The 20,833-nt window shown below is 42.2% G+C and overlaps 1 protein-coding gene across 36 annotated transcripts in view, besides 3 other annotated features; it reads left to right on the top strand.

Annotated features, from left to right (window-relative positions):
* ARID1B (AT-rich interaction domain 1B) overlaps window positions 1-20,833 on the top strand; it is a 434,754-nt gene that overhangs the window by 90,912 nt on the left and 323,009 nt on the right. For 18 of the 36 annotated variants that reach the window (NM_001371656.1, XM_011535984.3, XM_017011105.3 and 15 more), the window contains one exon: window positions 4,677-4,715. The exons of the other annotated variants lie outside the window; for them this stretch is intronic. In NM_001371656.1, coding sequence (NP_001358585.1) covers window positions 4,677-4,715 — 39 coding nt within the window. The remainder of the gene's footprint in view (window positions 1-4,676; window positions 4,716-20,833) is intronic. 36 annotated transcript variants of the gene reach the window in all.
* Window positions 15,175-15,224: an enhancer, noted in NCBI's record as "active region_25319". NCBI's record gives its function as "activates an Ori minimal core promoter by ATAC-STARR-seq in GM12878 lymphoblastoid cells {active_cell/tissue: GM12878}" and the evidence as "EXISTENCE:reporter gene assay evidence [ECO:0000049][PMID:35858748]".
* Window positions 15,235-15,304: an enhancer, noted in NCBI's record as "active region_25320". NCBI's record gives its function as "activates an Ori minimal core promoter by ATAC-STARR-seq in GM12878 lymphoblastoid cells {active_cell/tissue: GM12878}" and the evidence as "EXISTENCE:reporter gene assay evidence [ECO:0000049][PMID:35858748]".
* Window positions 19,717-19,766: a silencer, noted in NCBI's record as "silent region_17717". NCBI's record gives its function as "represses an Ori minimal core promoter by ATAC-STARR-seq in GM12878 lymphoblastoid cells {active_cell/tissue: GM12878}" and the evidence as "EXISTENCE:reporter gene assay evidence [ECO:0000049][PMID:35858748]".

A 20,833-nucleotide genomic window follows, 5' to 3' on the forward strand; every position in this document is an offset into this window, starting at 1 on the left:
TTATTTTCTGTACAGACATAGGAAAGTTACTTGTGACCACAGTTTTTCCCTGTACATGAATAGCTCCCTTTAACATGGCCTGGCACAGTGCTGGCTTATTATAATGCTATTTGTGTATTTTCCTTGGAGTCTTCTGTGACCTGTCTTTCAGCCATCCATTGCATACTCTGACAGACGGTTTTCATCTTTGACAACCAACAAGAGGTGTACACATGACATATCTGGACCTACTAAAGGGTAGCAAAGAAAATCATATTGCTGGATGTTAAAATCAAAGTTTTAAAGTGGCTTGAGGCTCCTCCATGGAAAAGATGGTGCAAACACCATAGGCAGTTAGGTACTGGCGGCAGTCCTGTGCTGGGAGCCCTGGCCAGAGCTGTGTGGATGGCAGCAATAAGAACCCTCACTGCTGAGGACATAGGAAGAGCCAGGCTGAGTGCCGGAATCCATTTCCTTGGGCATAAACTGAGCTGGGAGAAAGGGATGTTTCCTCCCACAAATAATGTGAGAGGCATGATAAGTACACTGTTTCCTGTGGAAAGCTGACCTAGTGATTGTATTTTATTGGGATATTTGATCCTTTATTTGAATGTTTTTAAAAGTATCTGGGTGGTGTCATTATTAGGAATACCACCTGATTAATTTTTTTTTTCATTTGGTTACATTTGAACGGTATGTGAATGTACTATTTTGAAGTTTTAAAATAACTTTGAAGATACTTTTGGTTTCCTTTAGGCCTGCTTTTCAGGTTAAGAATAAGACAGAGAATATACTTCTGGTGTGACTTTTAAAAAATGTCATTTTACCTTAGAAGTGGTCCGACAGATCTCAAGCTGCTCTTCACATGCCCTGCCCTTTAAATCTCAGGCTGTTCATTGGAGTTCAAAATACAGCTCCTCTACCGATCAAATAAGCTTTCTTTAAAAAGGCAGGTGGAGAAAGCAAATGTTTGTTTCAGAAATAATTTTAATGTCCGAAACGAGTTGCTGTATTCACGTCAGTTATGCACCTTGTCATTGAGCATGGCTGCTGCAGTTCCAAACTGTCCCAGTGCCTTCCTGTCCCTAGCGCTCTTCCTCACAGTGGGGATTGATGGATGGGTCATTTCCATCCTACCTTTCTATGAGGAAAGCCTTGTAGCAGGCTGCCAGGTGAATGCTTGCCTCAGTACCGAGCTGTGCACAAACGTCTGATTCATTATTTTGGATCAGTTTTCCACGTGGTCTTTATTTTGTATTTGTTGAACTATTTAGGTAAAGTGTGAATTATAAAAGAAGCTCAATCATTCTTCTTCCTCCCTGGAAAGAGAATTGAGGAATTGGTGTTTCCTTGGTTGTCATCACTGATATATGTGGGTGCTTCTATTGTATTGTTATCACATGAGGATAAATATTAAGGATTTAAACCTCCTGTGATAAAGAAATGGCTTTAGAAGACAGAAATGCTGAAAGGGTTTATCTTAGTCTGTTCAGGCTGCTATAACAAAAATACCATAAACTGGGTGGCTTATAAAAAGCAGAAATGTATTTCTCACAGTTTTTGAGGCTGGAAGTTTGGGATCAAGATGCTTGGCAGATTGAGTGTCTGGCGAGGGCCTGTTTCCTGGTTCCGGGACTGTGCCATTGGGCTGTGTCCTCCTATGGTGGAAGGGGGTGGCCAGCTGACTGTTCTTCCTAAGGGCTTCAGTACCATTCATGAGGGCTGTGCCCTCATGACCTAGTCACCTCCCGAAGGCCCCACCTTTTAATGCCATCACCTGGAGGGTTTAGATTTCAACATATGAATTTTGGAGGGACACAAATGTTCAGACCATAGCAGATTTAAGACAATACAAAACAAAACAATAGGTATTCTTGTGAAACTACTTAGAACTGTTTTAAATGTTTTTTAGAAATAGGATTTAGAGACAATTTTTGTCAATTTTTAATAACACTTAACGGTACTTTGTTTTGCTAATGTGAAAGAAGAATTCAGCAAGATCATTACAATATAAAAGAAGTGACAGACCAAGTACGAATAGGGTTTATTTGGGTATGTAATTTTAAGTGAGTGAAGGAAGAGGCATTTGATGATTTGTAAAACATTTCTGATTTAAAAAAAAATGAATTTGTTTTTTTTGCCTCTAAAGCGTTAAATTTTCTTGGTCATCAGTTGAAACTTTTGATTTCATTTTAATTGCTATATTGTATGTGCATTGTCTGTATATTTCTTCAAAGGAATTTAAAGATTTGGAAGTCTGTTACCAAGTGTGTGTCAGAAGAGGCCAAATTTTCAGATTTAATACTTTTAGCTGTTTTTTCTAATGACACTTCTTTCGAAGACGAGATTAACAAATTTTTTTTGTCTCTCTGTCATAGGTCATCGTGTTTTTTGGTATAGTTCATTCATCTTCTGTTGCCTCAACATCTGGCCATAAAAGCGAATAATGAATGGTTTTTTGAATTTGAAATTTGCATGTGAATTTTTGGATGAGAGACATTTTTATATAATTTATAAGTAACCATTGGGGACTACATCTGCCTCATAAATATTAGCAAAATTTCACACTGAGATTAATGAGCTTATAAGTTGTTAGTCTGCATATATTTGATTTGCCTGAAAATAGGGTTTTCAGGAAGTCTCAGTGACCTATATTAACTACTTTTTATAAGGGCGAGGACATGGAAAGACTTTATTTTATCATGCTTTTCTTCACCCTTTTAGTAGACTTGCAGGCATGCAAGTGGAAGCTACAGGAATTAATACGGATGTCAGAAAATATGTGAAGAGATGGATTTGTCTAGAGTGAGCTATAAAGTGAATTTCTTCATATCAAATTTTATATGCCCATTGAGATTCTTAAGGAAAAAAAAGAGTGAGCATTCCTGTAGGGAAAAATCGGTTCTGAGAGCAAGTAGTAAAATCACACTTAACAACTTCAGACATCTGTTGAAAATATGTCTTTAAAAATATTTAAAATATCATTTCCAATAATGTTCTAATCCTCATAGTAGCAGGAGAGAGCATTTGATAATTGAGGCATTACTGATCTCCCTGAGTGAGTTCCCTACACACCAGGGAGCAGTGGCTGGGGCAGGGTGGGGGCGGGGAGGGCAAGCAGTTGAGAGGCTGTTCTCTGCCTTTGCCAGGGAGTAGCCATTCCGATGGTCCGGTTTGTTCAGGACTTGCTCTCTTCCTTCCAGTTCTAGCTCCGAAACACCCTGGATTACAGTCTTTGAAGAAGTAGGAGAGCCGGTGGCCGAAGTGCCCACTCATGACCTGGCCTTGCTAGTGGAGGTGGCAACCAGAGAAGCTGGAGAGCGCCTCCTGATCCACAGGGAACTTCAGTAAATCCTTTTGCCTCCCCCCGGTCGTCAGATTGCGTTCATACTGTGGTAGCAGGCCCCGTCTGAGGCCCATCCTGGTGTTGAGAGGCTGGATGCTAGCAGGGAGCTCCAGGAGACGTTCCGCTGGCTGTTTATAACCAGATCCTGAACACAAAGCTTCCAGCCTGGTGCTAGAGGCCAGGGAGACCTGAAAATGTCTCACTTCAGGGCTTAGGGTAACATGGAATAAATATATTTGCCATTGAACAAATTATTTAGGTTAAATTGCCTTCGTTGTCTTTTCTGTATCTATAGTTTAAAAGATTTCCTATGCCTTGGGAGCTGCGGATTGAAGAGCTTGCTTTGAATGAAGTCTTGTCAAATACTGAGTCTGTGTGGTAACTTAGACCTGGTGGGAAAATGTGGATTCTGGATTTCCTGTGAAAATAGAAGTACTTGAAAAGCAATGCTTAAAATGGTAGTGTTAAAAAAAAAAAAAGTCACATATATCCAGCTAAGAGTTGCTAATTCTGTCGTATTGCACATTATAGATATGTTTACATTTTTAAAAAGCTGTGTGACATTGGACTCTAGACTCAGAACTAGAATATTTTACCAAACCTCTTTGTTATTTTGCAGTAATATTTAGTAATGATTCTGTATCCAAAAATGTCCTAATAACATCTAACAAACCATGTTCCTAAAGTCTGTGCATGTTTTGTATTTGGGATTTTTATCATTTTCAAATATCTAGAACGTTTGGATTTCCTAGCATTATGCCTAAAAGAGATTAGTATTTATGTCAGTAAGTTCCGTAACTAGAATCTGAGTGATTTTTTTTGCCTTGTCATTAATCTGAGGAGGTTTGAAACTAAGACTGCTGTCATCGTTTCTCCTTTCTTGTACAGCCTATCTTGCTACGGTTTCTTACATATACCATAGAAGCAACAGGCCAGCCTGTGGTGTAGAAAAGTGAGATTTTTGGAGGGCAGGGATACTGTAGCTTACTTATCTTTTACATTTATCACCTCCTAGCTAGTACAGTGCCTGGCATCCAGTAGGTGATGGACAAATAAATGGAAGGCAGTCATGGAATGCTAAGTGCACCCCATGGAATGTTCTTGTTCACTTATGCTATGGGCAGTCTGAAAAACGGTGCTAGACAGAGTGGAAATCAGATCCCATGGATAACCCTTTTGCACATTTGATAGGGAGTGGTGGAGAAGGCCTGATACAGATGGGGACCTGAGGTTTTCTTGGAGTGATTAAGTTGCTCAAGGTCACCTAATTAATAAGCCACAGGGCCAAGATGGGAATCCTGGACTGACTCCAACACTGTTGCTCCTAATTACTGTTTTATCCTACTTTTAGGACTCTGGAGATGCCACATGGAAAGAAACATTCTGGTTGGCAAGTATCTTCTTACATGCTCTTACTTGCTCCAAGTCTTTGGGACAGCATATGACAGTGGGGGCAGCTGGCACATCTGTGTTGTTCCCCTCCTGCAGGAACAGGGGCTTCTTAGATGGGAGGCTGAGGGCCCATCCCTGTGCAGGTGCATGTCCTGCTTGATGATACCAGGTCCTTCCAGGGCCTCCTGGGACTGGGCTCATTGTAAGTTACAAGAGCATTCACTTCTGGTTTTCCTTCTTGAGGAACCACATTGTGCTTTTTTCCTGGTGGCTTATGTATACTTAATTGAAGACTTGTTTTTCTCTTTCTGTTTTTCTCCATGTTCTTAGATTTAAAAAATAGTAAATGAGTTAATGAATGAATATGTGCATATATGATATTGTACGCTGACATATTGTTGGGAAGTTGGAATAGAGTCTGTGTAGAATAAAATAAAATAGACTGGATTTAAGCAACAGCCGCTTCTCAAGGCGAGTGATCCTGAGCAAGTTACTTAAATCGTCTGAACTACAATTTCTTTTTTATTAAACAAGAATTGGGATTAGTCGATGAGATTTCATGTGTAAAAGCAGGTTGCCTAGGACCTGGCACTTAGTGCTCAATAAATCTCCTTCCTCCATTTCATCTGTTTTTGGAATCATACCTGGTCAGTTTAATCCATTGTTTTTGTTTGTTTGTTTTTTGAGAAGGAGTTTTGCTGTTTTTGCCCAGGCTGGAGTGCAATGGTGCGATCTTGGCTCACTGCGAGCTCCGTCTCCCAGGTTCAAGTGATTCTCCTGCCTCAGCCTGTCGAGTAGCTAGGATTACAGGCGCGCACCACCACGCCCAGTTAATTTTGTATTTTTAGTAGAGATGGGGTTTCGTCATGTTGGCCAGGCTGGTGTTGAACTCCTGACCTCAGGTGATCCGCGCGCCTCAGCCTCCCAAAGTGCTGAGCCACCTCCCAAGGTGCGAGCCACCACTCCTGGCCTAACCCATCGGTTTTCAGTCTGTTTGGTTTATTGGCTTGCTAAGCTTTCTTTAATAATTTCTATTCAGTAGGACAGAGCCTTCCAGGGACCAGAAAAAGGGGAAATAGGTATCTGAGAAATAACAAGGTCTCTTCAGCACCCTTTTCCAACTGCTGCCCCCACGCTGTGGAGTGGATGTTGTTCGTGAGCCTGCTGGCGTGGTCATTGGTCATCCTTCCACATAGGTTGTTTCTTGGTGCTTTGTTTTCCTCCATGCTGTTTTTCCCCTGGAACCCCTGCCCATCGGCCCATCCGTATTTTATGCTGGACACTCCCCTCCTGCTCTGAGGCTACTCCGTGTGCTGAAGACCCCTCTACTCTTCCTTCCATCTTGTGCCAGCCATTCTTACCAGAACTGTCGGACAGCGAGGCAGTGACCACCTGAACAGGCCATTTCATGTTTCTTTCTTTCCCTTCCAGCCTACAAGCACGCCAGCAGCCCCGTGCATGGCTTCTCATGTCTGCTCCTGGCACCTTGCATGATGCCTGACAGATAAACAGAAGGCTCTTAGAGAATACGGGTTGAAGAAAAGGGGAATGGGCACAAATTTTCATATCATATTTAATTACATAAATTAATCACAGGTTAGTTTATGTAATTATGTGATTAATGATTGGAAAGTTCTGGATTAGCCCACTGGATAGAATTTTCTGTCACAATAATTGTGTTCAACTGAAGATTCTGACATTTCATAAGTTCAAAGTGAATAATTTTTATCATACTTTGAGGAGAGGGTAACTAATACTAGTCTTTTATTACTTTAAACTTAAAGCATATTTAGTCACAAATATTTTTGTAAACTTTGTAAAAATTAGTGGTCAATTTTTGAAGGAGAGAACTGGTGATTTACAGGATAAGTGGAAATCTGAATAAATATTACTGAAGATCTGGAATCTACAAATGATCTGCGTTGATGCAGTTGTGTTTCTATGGTTGGCTGCGTGCAGAGCTGTGATACACAGTGTGAATTATTCAGCAAATGCAATGGAGTCTTGTGCAGCAGAGCTTTACTGCAGTACCTGTGTGCTTTGCAGATTCTCCTTCACTTACGTGGGTTTGCCTTCTTGTCTCCTGAAGGATGGCCCGGTCTTCCCCACCTGTGGACAGTCTCAGGCATTGGTAACTTCAGGCGTCTGATGAGTGGCGTCCTTTAGAAGGCTCTCTCCTGGATCTGTGCCCCCAGCCCAACCTGTCTCTCAGCTGCGGGCCAGCCTTGTCAGCACCCGCCAAAGCATTTCTCAGATACCCACGGCCTCCTCAGAAACAGCTCTTCCTCCATCTGCTTTGCCCACATCTTCTCTTAATGGAACCATAGTATCCTCAGGCCTGTGGTGGCAGTGCCAAAGAGTCATATTGGATTTTGCCCTTTTTTCCTGTACTGACTAATTTCTTATGTTTAGGTTTTTTGTTTGTTTGTTTTATTTTGTTTAAACAGGGTCTCACTCTGTCACCAGGCTGGAGTGTAGTGTTTCACGGCTCACTGCAGCCTCAACCTCCTGGGCTCATTCCTGCCTCAGCCTTTCAGGTAGCTGGGACAATAGATGTGCGCCACCACACCTGGCTAATTTTTAAATTTTTGGTAGAGACAGGATCTACCTGTGTTACCCAGGCTGCTGTCAAACTCCTGGTAGGCTCAAGCTATCCAGCCACTTCAGCCTCTCAAAGTGCTGGGATTACAGGTGTGAGCCACTGCGCTCAGCCATTTAGTTTGTTTTAATATCCTGGAGTAGGGGCCCTGACTCTCCTGATTCCCCTTCTCACTGACTATCAGCTGTATGCTGTGGGAATCTCTCACCTGTAGAGTGAAGTTGGTAAGAGTGAGTTCAACACCAAGGCTCAAGGCCTGGCATGCATGGTGTTTGTTACACATTTCCCCCAAACTAAAAATCAGCAGGTGCATCTGCAGTCCCCTTTTCAGTGTGGCCTCTCTTTTGCATGGGTCCTCTCTGTGCTGGCTCCAGGCCCGTCCCTTTCTGACTATGTCCTTCATTCCTCTTACACAAACCCCGCCTTCTTAAATAGGTCCCACATTTTCATGGTGCCATTATTTGTGACTTGGAAGTCCTGATCTCTTTCCCTGTATCTCTGTCTGGTACAACCCTGGCTACTCCTCAAAACTCCATTCCATTCTCCTTCGTGGAGCTTTAATCCATTTCCAGAACGTGCGTAGTGCCTTAAGCGTATCTCTTTATGGTCGTGGCATATTGAATCTTGACTTATGGTAATTGGAATATGGGTCCTTTGCTCCTTTAAGGCCCTTAAGAGCAGGAGCCACATCTGGATTTTATCGCTGTGGCACAAAGTGGAATAGCCCACCCATAGTAACTGATCAGGTAAATATTTGACTTTAGTTAACATATAGGATCTACTTTTACTTGCTAAATTTTACAGTATTCTTTGAAAGACCATCTCTAAATGGCCTATTTGAGTATATAGATTAAGAGTAGTGTCTAGATATATATTTGAGGCTGATGGCCATTCATTTATTCATTGTTCCCGCATTCCTTCACTAAACGAGCACTACACCATCACACTGCCATATGTTGTGTAGCAGGAACTCAGTGTATGGAAGGAAAGTCATTCTTTAGCTTCATAGGAAATGGTTGTGGTTGTGCATTGCATGATCAACTTTCAGAGCTTTACAAATCACTCATTTGAGTACCATAAGCTTTCTTCATATCTGCATCCATTTTCCAGTCCAGTTAGTGACATCTATATTTTCTTCCTTAAAAATGTATGGAACACTTTGCCATTTATTCAAAATTAATTGCATTTGTAATGGTCAATGTTAAAAGCCAGGTGAGGTGAGAAAGTTTTCATTGACCAGCTGTATTCGATTCTGGATTAATGTTTTTGATTATTTTTATTTCACACTCTAGATTTTAGCATGAGACTGATAGAACCTTAAAATTATCACAGTCTTTCTCCCTGCCAGCTTCTCCTCACAAAATAAAGATGCGAGTCTCTGTTCAGATTTAAACAGTTCATGCCTTTTCAGTGAGCTGCTGTTTAAAATGAGTTCCTCAGGAAAGAAGTGGCAAAGAAAGCTGCGCGTATTAAGTATGTTTTCTTTGTCTTAATAAAAGGATGGCTTACTGCCGTGTTGTGCTGTTGTTTAATATTATAGAGGTTTTACTGCAACTCTCTTGGTGATTACAAGAGGGCTACGTTTTGGCTAACAAATGTAGTAAATGTGATGAAAATCCCCTGTGTTGTACATTTCTTTGAATAACATGTTTATATAACGTGCTAAATACTTCTGTTAAAGAACTGCTTTCCTGAAATTGCAAATTCCATTCCAGATTTTAGTGTTACTGAAGTGTACTGTTGAATATTCCAAATTATATGGGTATTTTTAAAGCATCTTTAAAATTTGTCTGCATACACTGTCCTTTTTGAAGTTGGGTCTCTGAAAAAATTTAGAGTTGTATCTCTGGATGATAGTGTTGACTTTCCCGTGGTACCTACCAGGCACTGAACAGAATTATTTAAAGAAATTTGCCAAAGCTTTATATTTTGGAGTAGATAGCACTGATGTGACTGTGTGAATAAATCACATGCACAGATTAATAAGTTTGTATTAATGTTTGTAAGATGATATTGTGGTGGTGTTCTCAGTGAACTGTGGGCCTCTTTCCTCAGCCTCACCCATCCGGCCCTGTGGATTTTAGGTTGAGTCCTGGGTTTGCCTTGTGGACTTGGGCCTCGATATCTGTGTAGGCTCAGCTGTCTCGTCCTGGTTCCAGTGGCTCTACCCTGGACCACGGCCCACTCAGCCCGAGACTCACTGCTGATGCCGGCTGGGCATGTCCACCTGGGGGCGCCTCCAGCATCCCAGTTCCGAGTATACTCATGGTGTTTCTTTTCCCCAGTCCACCGTTTGCCCCCATAAAAACATGGCACTGCTCAATCTCTTAAGTTGCCCGCCTGGGAAGTTATTATCCTTGGTGTTTTTCCCTCACTACCCTCCTCCACTTGATCACTAATTCCTGAAGACTGTCCCAGACACTTTCTGTGTGCCCCGTCTTCATAGCCTTTACCCAAGTTGAGGCTGTTGCCGTCACTGGCGTGGGCAGTTGCTTTAGCCCCTCAACCAGTGTATCTGCCAGTTATCGCCCTCCTACTTCCAGATCATTCTCACTCTGAGGTCCACAGACCCCTGAGTGTTCACAGATGGACCTCAGGATGCTGCGAATCCTTTGGAATTAAATATTAATTTTTTTTGTTGTTGTTGTTTGTTTGTTTTTGAGATGGAGTCTTGCTTTGTTGCCAGGCTGGAGTGCAGTGGCGTGATCTCGGCTCACTGCAACCTCTGCCTCGCAGGTTCAAGCGATTCTCCTGCCTCAGCCTCCCGGAAATTAAATATTAAGATTTCTATATATGTGTGTAGATGCATTTTTCTGGCCAATATACTCTCAAAGGTTCTATGAATCCCGAATGTTTAGCAACCACTTATTATTTATTCTTTCACAAAGAGCTTTCACAGTAATCTTGTTAAAATAAAATGAAAATCTGATATGTTATTCTCCTGCTTAAAGTTCTTTAGTGAATATCTGTTGTGAAATAAAATCCAAACTTGTGAGTCTGATGGCATGACCCTTCTGGACTCCTGTCTTCCTGTTCACCCCTATTGCTCTCAGCTCTCCAGCCTGGATCTAAGCACCACTTTACTGAGATGCTTGCAGTTCGAGATTGCATGGTGCTGTGTTTCACTCTGCACTGTGCTGTACTGTTGCCTGTGGACCCGCACTCCTTCCCCTCTCCTGTTTCCTTCAGGTGTCTCTTTCTCCGTGCTTCTTCCTTGCCTGCTGGCTCCACCTACATTTATTCAACGTCTACTTCAATAACGTGTCTCCCTATATTAAAATTACCTGTAGCTATTGAATGTGTCCCCTGCTGAACTTGTGACCCTCATGAGTATTTTCAGAGTCTGGCACATAAGGTCTCAATGAATGCTAAAAGAAGGAACACATTGGAGCTGCCGGCCTCTGAAAGTTGGGTCCATGCCACCTGTAGGCCTTCTTGCATAACCATATTTATCCTTTTTTTTTTTTTTTAAGTGAGACAGAGTCTCGCTCTGTCACCCAGGCTGAAGTGCAGTGGTGCCATCTTGGCTCACTGCAACCTCTGCTGCTCGGGTTCAAGCACTTCTCGTGCCCCAGCCTCCTGAGTATCTGGGACTACAGGCGTGTGCCTCCATACCTAGCTAATTTTTTTTTTTGTATTTTTAGTAGAGACACGGTTTTGCCATGTTGGCCAGGCTGGTCTCGAACTCCTGACCACAAGTAATCCACCTGCCTCAGCCTCCCAAAGTGTTGGGATTACAGGCGTGAACCACCGCGTCTGGCCCATGTTTATCCTTGACTTTTGATTAGTTACGTAAGATCTTTTGAAGGGCTTCTCTCACTCTACATACTTGATCAGGCGGTTGCCCTTCCTCATGCCTCTGCCAGCTGGGCGTCACGTTCTGCCTTCTGTTTTTGCTTTGTGGTGCCACACATTTTGAGGCTCTCCTTTAGTTTCTCCACTTATCTGGCTACCATTTCAAGGTACCATTTTACCTTGTGTCAGCGAGGATTCTTAGGTGTAAGCGATGAAGACCGAGTCTAGCCAATTCAAGCAGAAAAGGAATTGACAGGCTGTTGGGAAGCTCACAGAATTGCCAGAAGGGCAGGAACAAGGGAGACCACACCATGAGGATGCTGCAAAAACAGGTCACAAGTACAGAGAAGACCTGAGCATGCCAGACACAACTTGTACCTCCATATCGCCCCACTGGCATCCTGGTGGCAGACACATGTGCACACACCTGAAATTGGGTATTGCTGTGTGTACTGCAAGGAGAAGTTCCTCCTCTCCTTGTTTCTTTGTATTACTGGCTAATGAGTCAAAGACCAGGGCATGTGCATCTGATTGGCTGGGTCAATAATCTAGCTGCCTGTAACTCCAGTTACTCTAGTTTCTAGTTTGGGAAAGCAAGTAAGTGTTTGGCCTTTCCAGCCTCTCTTTTGGGAAGTGGAGTCTGCCTCCTATCAGGCTCATAATAAGGTGAGGAGTTACCCAAATCCCAGAAGAGGGTTCATAGCTTGGGCAGCCAAATGGTTGGACAGGTGGTCGCTACATTGCTGCTTTAATGCTTGCAATTGCACTGGGCTTGCTTTAGGAAGTGTTTGTTGGTAAGAGAATTGTCATCATCATGGGTTTGTTTGCATCGTGATTGACCATTTAGGAAGTGTTTTTGCATCAGCATTTCATTGAGTGAGGTGGAGGAAGTATTGTAGTGCCATTTTGTAAGGAGGAGGTAAGGAAACTGCTGGACAAAGAGGTAAAGCAGTCTGATGTAGGTAGGACAGTTAGCTGTTGAGGGCGGAACTACAGCTTCTGACTCCAGTGCCCATGGAGGCTCTCCTCCGCACCAGCCTATCCCGGCTGTGCCCTGTGCATTGCTGCAAGGGGCCAGGGAGGAGTGTTCGCATCATACCCACGCACTCGGAGCCTCTTCCAAAGGACTGAGATGTGTACTAGGGTATCTGGTTCTGCGAGGGCTAATTTGGCATTTTGTATTCTTGTTCTGTCTACTTGTGTTGTTTAATGTTGAACATCTCTCTGGTTGACTGAAGCCATATGTCATTCAAATGGAACCTGTGCTTTGGCGTTGGCCTGACAATCACTCAGCTGTGGAGTACAGCAATAAAAATTAGGAAAACTGTATCTGTTCATTAGACCAGTGGAATTTACAATCACTTTTGTGGCTGTGCCCCACAGCTCTACACTCTGGCAAATGAGAGTATCGTAAATTAAGCCTTTGCCCTTTTTTCCCTCTGTGAATTGCATATTTGTTTCACACTCGCAAATTGCTGTAGAAGCCAGATAGATGAGCACTTTAAAAGATTACAACAATGGAAAATGTGTTTTGGGAATGAAGTGCCTCAAAACAAGTACTGTAAGAGGTATTCTTTTTCATATAATGCTAAACACTTCTGCAAACCCTTAAGAATTTTATTTTAGAAGTATCGGGTAGCTTTTCTGTTACAGGAAGCAGAGGGTTTATATCATTGTTTTTGTAAAGTCAACTCTTGCTGGGAGTTAAGATATAAACATATGACACATGTGTATATATGTGCAGCGTGCGCATATGTGTGTGTGTAAGCTTAGCCTTCCTGTGTTTTAGACTAGTGATCTTTCACATACAGCAGGAAAGCTAAGAGTCAACTCATTCATGATATTGGGAGAAAAGCAAAGCAAAAACTGCAACAAAATCTCAAACCCTTTCTGCAGCAGCAGATGGCAAACAGTGATCAGAGGAGAAGGACCCTTCCAGCATTAGAAGATTTCCAAAGGCTGTTCCAGTAGGGGCTGTGGGCTTCTGGGAGCCCAGATGCCCCCTGATGGTATATTTGAGTTGTGAGGTGGAGGCCAGGTGGCAAGAGACTGCAGGCCAATGTCAATGAAAAGCCTGGGAGGAAAAAGAGATTTCTGGGAGAGGGAGACATCTTAGTGTGAGCAAATGACCAGTCGTTTAGTAGAGCGGGTCAAAGGAAAAGAAGGATGTGATAAGAGAGAGAAGGGAGGAGCTAGAAAATGGAATGCTGGTAGTGAAAGGAGAGAGAAAGAAAAATAGCGAGAATGTTTCATGATTGTGTTAGAGGCAAAAGCTTACTACAAGGCATTTCTAAGATAGTAGATAAGATGATGTAGTGTTTAAAGTGTCAAACTTAAGGCTCTTTATAGAGTAGGAAACAGTTATTTAGATTTATTGTGTAAGTTTTGCATAAGACAAATGCACATCAGCCAGGCACAGTGGCTCACGCCTGTAATCCCAGCACTTTGGGAGGCCGAGGCTGGCAGATTAGCTGAGGTCAAGGAGTTCGAGAACAGCCTGGACAACATGGCGAAACCCCGTCTCTACTAAAAATACAAAGATTAGCTGGGCGTGGTGGCGCATGCCTGTAATCCCAGCTACTTGGGAGGCTGAGGCAAGAGTTTCAGTTGAACCCCGGGAGGCGGAGGTTTCAGTGAGCCAAGATCGTGCAACTGCACTCCAGCCTGGGCCACGGAGCGAGACTCTGTCTCAAAAAAAAAAAAAAAAAAAAAAAAAGAAAAGAAAAGAAAAACACACATTGATGGCTTTTGGTGGATGTTAGTTATTAAGCTTTTAGTATTTTTAAAAATCCTTGTTAGTTTTGTATAGCGAACAGAAATTTTAAATTGAAAACTGCATAGTCATTTTTTCGTGTTTCTTGTGTAATCCATGTTCTCAGACTAGCATAATTTATAAGCACTTTTGTGGCTGTAAAGTAGAGAAAAAGGCTAAAGAGAAGGGTTTAGAATTCTGTACTGGTCTTGTTAGCTTGATAGTAGAGGTTAGAAGGGTATTTAAAATGCACTGACAGTGACAGCGTGTTGCCTGGGGCCTGCAGGAGTTTCGAGAGAGCCCTGCCAGGTGAGTTGGCTCAAGTTAGGTCTTCTCCTTCTCCCTGGGTGGGGCCTGCATGGCTGGGAACAGCCTCTCTGGGAGCCACTCTTGGAACCTGAGAAAGCTGATTTCTGTTAATTACGGCTCACTCAGGCAGTCACAATTTGGTACTAGGAGAGCCAGAAGTTGCTTTTCTGGACCCAAATAGGGTTTAGTATATGGTATTTGAAATTTTAGATGTACCAGATTTGAAATTCTGGCATGTTGTATTTGAAGAAATTGCATAATTTCTACTAGTTTTTGTTTTCAAAGCTTTGGAAAATAGACTCCTGCTTATACTGTTTTAAAAATATATGTATGTATACAATGTATGCACACATCTATGTATATATATAGTGTCACATGTAATACCTTTAGGTTCTCTCTAAATGTCTGCACAAATGGCATATTGTCTTCGGTTTTGCATCATTCCTTCTCAGAGCCTGAGGACTGCACGGGTTCCCATACCTCAATACTGGGCTACTTTCAACACCTGTGGTTGGAATTTTAGTCTTTAGTGATACATACTGGTGGATCTCCAGTGTTCCTGTCCCCATTGTGGGGAAGTAGTTATAGCAATAATTCCAAATGGTAGATATTCCTTAAAAATTGCCTCACGGTTTGGGGCTACAGTATTCGATTTGGGGTGGCGGCAAGTTTAACTTCCTCCCCATGGCTTATTTGGGTTAATAAGGCGAAGATGTGTTCTTGACTAATGTGAGGAGGCATCCTGAAGGCTAGTGTAGCATTGGGGGAAGCCCTAATGCTTAAGTATGCACAGTTGATATTTGAGAACTAGAACTCATTTACTTGGGTAGTAACATACATACTTCTGCTTTAAAATAAAATGTACTAATTTATTTCAGAGTCAAGCAATCATACAGCCAGTATTTTTTTAAGCATCTGCTGTATGCCTAGCATGGCCCTGGGAATTAATAAAATTCTGCCCCATCACTGCTCATCCTGTCCTGAATGATTCCTCTTTCACTTGTGTGTGCCTTTCTTCCCCAGCTGGGTTGCAGCTGTTCAACAGATCTTACTCTCGTTTCTCTTCTCTGCTAGTTGAAAGGGAGTCCTCCCTCTCAGCCTTGGTCCCGGTGGAGCAGCAATTCCCATGTTCTGGGACCCATTTCCGCCCAGCTCCTCGGGCAGAGTTGGCCAGCCTGCCTCTCTGCTGTGCTTCTTTGATGCCACTCAGAATCTCCCTGTTTGCCCATGGGCTCCCTCTCTTCTGCTAGGGGCTGTTTCTGTTCAGAGATTCTGTCTTATTCATATTTGTACCATCTACAGGGCCTGGGATGATTCTGTGGACACCTAATCATTGCACAATAAAGTATCAGTCAACACATGTGAATAATGGAAAATATAGAGGTGTTTGAAATCCATTTGGGAAAACAAAGCGTAGCTACAGATACCAACTATAAGGGTGCCTTGCCTTGCCTTTTTCTTTCATTGCTGTGGTCTCTTTCAATCAGGAGACCAGAAATATAGCACGGTTCCCATCACACACTGGCCACATACTCTTAGACATTTTTCTGTGAAAGGATACTGATTCTATACTTTTTCGTAGGATTGTTATGGAGGTAAATGAGATCGTCTGTGTGAAAATAGTTTAAAACGTTTAAAAGTGCTTTGTATAACGTCTTGCTATTGTCGTGAGTGCTAGTTTTGGGTGAGGGAAGGTGATATCAGTGACAACATTTTATAATGAGGTCTGTTCGGTAGTTATTTTGTAAATCATTTTGTAGTACACAGAGCTGATTAGCTTTATACTGTATTTTTGTGGCTAGGGGCTTTTATGTTGAGGCCTCAGGATAGAGAACAAAGTAAGGTTATGATAAAATCTTACACGGGGAACCCGAAAAGAGGGAGAGTTCGCTGTCTTAATTTCTGCATTTTCTAAGGGTAGAGCCTGAATTAACGCAACTGCCTTAGGTTTCTTCTGGCCTCCCTGGGAGTTATAGTCAAGGAGTGTTTGTGAGGCGCCTTTAGGCTCCCCATACCGACAGCATCTTACTTCGGGGCTCTCTCCCTGCATCAAATCTTCCTCGTCAGCTTGCAGATTCTCAATTATATGTTAACCGTCTTTATTCTTGGTAGCATTATTGTAAATTTGGGGTAGTAGTTATAATTTCTTCTAATTGTTTCTCCCAGAGCTATTGTTTGCCTAATATTCATATAAACCTGGCAAAGAGTTCATTGCTAGGGGGATTCCCAAGTTACTCCAGGGACTTGGTGATCTGAGAGCTCCCACAGTTGGGGTCCTCCACTCTGGACAAATAGATTGCCTTGTCTTCGTGACAATTTACTTTTCTTCTTTGGGGATCTGTGTGGAAAGTTAAAATAAGTCATAGCCCTTCCTCTCCTTGCTTTTCTTTACTTTTCTGAGCTTTACTTCCTTCTCCTCTGGACGTGCTGCCTCTGAACGCCATGTCTTCCATGCTTTCCTCTCCAGCGTGAGCCTGACACACATCAGCCCCAGCACTCGGCCCACGCTCCCCACAGCATGATCTCACTCTCCGATCCTCACCTCGGGACTGTCACCTCGTCTCACTCCAGCCCCATCTCTTCACCTTTCCTTGCTTTGACTCTTGACTTCTTCTGAGAGTTGCCGGCTCCTCTGAGTGGCAGGTGCTGGAGGTGCTGGAGGTAAGCTGTTACCTGTTCTGCTGGTGTTTGCCTTCCTCCTGTGCAGGTGTTTCCTGTTAACCTGCCCTGGCAGTTCAGCCTACTCAGACCAGCAGTAAGTTCTCTTTCTCTGGCAATGGCATTTTGTATCAACAACAGCTGTAGGTCAGGGAAGAGGCATTTCAGGAGCCAGAATCGCGGGACCCTCATTTATTCTGATAAAGTATCACTTGGAACTGTTTTCTTTGAGATTCTCTGGGAAAAAAAATATCGTGCCCTAATGCAGTGTTTTCTAAACTGCTGATTATGACTCATTAATGGGAGCAAGAAAGTAATGTATTAGACTGCAACTAGAAATGTTTTTAATGGAAGGAATTTGATGTAAATAGTAGAAGATACAAATGTAGCACATACAGCAAGTGTCCTCTGTGTTCAAGGTTTTGACATAAAATATGTTTCTTCCTCCGAGTTGGCGTCAAAACATTTGACAGCCATTACTCTAATTAACTTTCAGTATTTTTTAAGCTCCTTTGATTCCCCTCTCCCTTTTTCCTTCTAATGATAATTTAAGAATTTTTTTTTTTTTTGTAGTTCAGATAAAGTAGATTTAGAACATGGTCTATTTTCAGGACAACCTGATGAAAAACTGAAACCATAGCTAAGTGATTTGCCAGTTGCACGGCAGGTCTTCTCTATTTCATGCAGGTCTTTGCCTCCTAAGCAGTGCGCCTTCCCAGTAAAGCTCCAGCAGATAAGGGTAAGGTGGCCACCTGGAGGGCCTTCTGTAGATGGGCGTTCCATCTGGGAGGATTAGGAGGTGTAAGGATGGAGTGCCCAAACTCCAGCAGTTGGTTTTTCCTGGATGCTGTGTGTGGGCTAATCATAGTCCGCTAAGGAGGTGGCTGCCATGTTTCTAGGATTATTAGGCTACCACTAGTTTGGGGAGTGAAGAGCAATGGAAAAAGGTTCTGAGATTCAGGAACCACCGAATGCCCAGATACTAGTGTTGCTAATTCTTTTTTCTGGCAGTAAGAAATAGCTGTAGGTTTTAAATGATTGTGAGTGATTATTGAATGTAGTAGCCCTGGTCAGAAAATATTATCATTTCCCCCCAGTTCCTTATACCTTGTCTTGAGCTCGGGGAAGTCCTTCCGGACTACAGTGTTGCTGCTGGGATAAAGTTTCATTGTTCTTGTAAGAAACATTTTTGAAAGGAAACTAAATATGTCAAATGAATAGTTGGAAATCGTGTTTCCCTATGACATATACAGTGTATCTTTTAAATTTAAAGGATTTATTAAAGTGAAAATCATTGTAGGATACTGTTTGAAACCTGGCTTTACCTTCTAATGGTAATATAGCTAAAATAAAGTAAAATTGGAATATGATCTAATTTCAGAACTAAAATATTTTAGCCCAGTTATCCTTATATGTCACTGGATTTTGGAGGGTTCTGTCTTAAGACAGGTATTTGTACCAGTTAATGTCCAAAACAGTGAAATGCATTCACTGAAGTCTATTGACTTAATTTCAGAGGTGCTTAGAATGGACAATCAGAATACATCCATGTTGAAGTATTGGTTTGAGGTGGGTAAGTATCATTTTATGATTATTTATTGAGTTTCAAAATGTATAGTTTAGAATGCCTAATTTTAATGATTTGTAAATATAAAATGAGGAGGCAATGGAAAGAAGTGAGACATTTATTTTGCTGAAAATTCTACCTTCAGTAAGTCCTCCTCCCTTTCCCCTGCCTGCCCTTGGGTGTCTTTCTGTTACTGATTTTAAAATGTCAACATCCTATATTTTTTTCTGACCAATCTTTTGGGTCTACTTGGTACATGTTCCACCTGATGAAATTTTAAAAGTTGCAGATTGTTCTTCTCAAGGGAAATAACTGAATTATTTTCTTTTTGTATGAACATTTACTTTGAAATATGTTGATATTTCAAGTACTTTGATACTTTATCCAAAGCATCACTTCTTCATATTGCCACAACTTTAAAATGGAGTTCCTGTTTCTTGCCCAGTATCACAAGTTTATCATGTAAGTTAAGATTATGTGCTAAACGACTCACAACGAAGCCTCCCCTTCCCACTTGTGCCTAGAACTTACAGTGTCTGTGTTGGTAGAAATTTTGTATCCTAATATTGTACAGGTTGAGTATCCCTCATCTGAAAATCCAAAATTAGAAATGTGCCAAAATCCTAAACTTTTTTTGAGTACTGATGTGATGCTCAGAGGAGATGCTTATTGGAGCATCCAAGATTTTGGATTTTTGGGTTAGGGATGCTCAACCAGCAATTATGTAATGCAGATATCTCAAAGTTTGAAAAAGCTTGAAATCCAAGACACTTCTGATCCCAAGCATTTCAGATAAGGGACATTCTACCCATACTTTCTAAATTAATCTCAACTACACAGATTTTACAATTTTAGTGTTGCTGTTATTGTTTGTTTGTTTTGAATTTTGTTCTTGTCGCCCAGGCTGGAGTGCAATGGTGTGATCTCAGCTCACTGCAACCTCCGCCTCCTGGGTTTAAGTGATTCTCTTGCCTCAGCCTCTGGAGTAGCTGGGATTCCAGGCACCTGCCACCATGCCTGGCTAACAATTTTAGTTTTTAAAACTTAAAGAAATGTGTGTGCATTTCTCATTTACAGGCTTCCTTCCTCTATTCAGCTTCTTTTCCCACCCCTGCTGGCTCTCTTGTATCCTCTGGGCTCCCCATGCCTTACCCCGTACTGCTCTCCTGGGACACAGCATGACCTCCAAAGTGTCCTTGCCTCTCTTGTCCCAGTCTGAGTGGCTGTTCGCTTCCTCCACCTTTCACTTCCGTTTAATGACTGAGCCTCGTGGGAGAGTGGAGTGAGCACTTCCGTTTGTGACTACTGGGTGAAATTATGCAGGTTTCCTAGCCCTTGACCGTAACAAGGACAGAGTTGAACCAGTGGCCATTCAAAGTCTTTTCCAGTTCCGGAAGTGTATGATAAAGTAGTTCTTAATAATGTGTAACTGTGCCGAGCCTTCCAAGGAGGAAGGGAATGGATACATATTTTTTCATTTAAAACAATAGCTCATTGATCCAGCAATATGTGGACTGTGTACTGGATATATTTTTGAGCATCTCCTCTTCCCTTCCCTTTACACCAACTCAAACTATGATCCAGGGAACAAGCTGCAAGGAGTTAGTTTTTGAACCACTGATAATGCTTTTGTGTTCCACTGACCCTACCTTTGTACATGGAATTCAGGGGAGGAATCATTGCTTTGTGAAATGGTGGGCTGGTGGTAGCAGCATCTTCGAATGTAGAAAGATTTATTTATTTATAAACCCACTCCTCATTTGTTATGAGAACATTCTGAAACTCAGGAAGGCGACAGAAGACTCATGCTCATTTGAAGCCTGTCCTGTCCTAGGTAATAGGGACAAAACCCCCAGCCTCTTCACTGTCTGTGTCAGTGTGCAGCCTCCTCTCGGGAGAGCAGTGGGTGCCAGTAACGTACCAATGCTGGCTCTTCCCACGGGACTGTCTGTTCATGGATTCTGCAGTTGACACGATTCCCAAAGTCTCAGAGGAAGAAATTTAAGAGCCAAGTTGGGTCTTGGACAGTCTGTGGAGAAGTTGGACCCTTGCATGATTACCATTGCTATTACTTTTCTCCATTGCTATGTTTTTCACCATATACATCATTTAAATTTAGGGGTAGATAGATTAATGAGTACATTTTCTCCCTGAAAAGTATCTTCATGGAACACTTAGACTGTATCTTTTTAAAGGATGATGCTTTAAATTAATGCAGTTTTTGAAATTTTCATTTTTGATGGGCTTGGCATTTTCTTCTGTTTTCATCAGCTTAGTTACAAAAATCATTTTGAGGAGGGCCAGAAGAGAAAAAGGATATAGGAAGGCTGTGGAGCACCCACCCTCCTGCACCCTCAGAGAGTGGGCTTTTGACTCGTGGTAACAATGCAACCGCATAATCTCACCTCACCCCCAATTCTTTCATTTGAAAAAAAA

The sequence above is a fragment of the Homo sapiens genome, chromosome 6 (genome assembly GCF_000001405.40).
Source record: "Homo sapiens chromosome 6, GRCh38.p14 Primary Assembly".
NCBI lineage: Eukaryota > Metazoa > Chordata > Mammalia > Primates > Hominidae > Homo > Homo sapiens.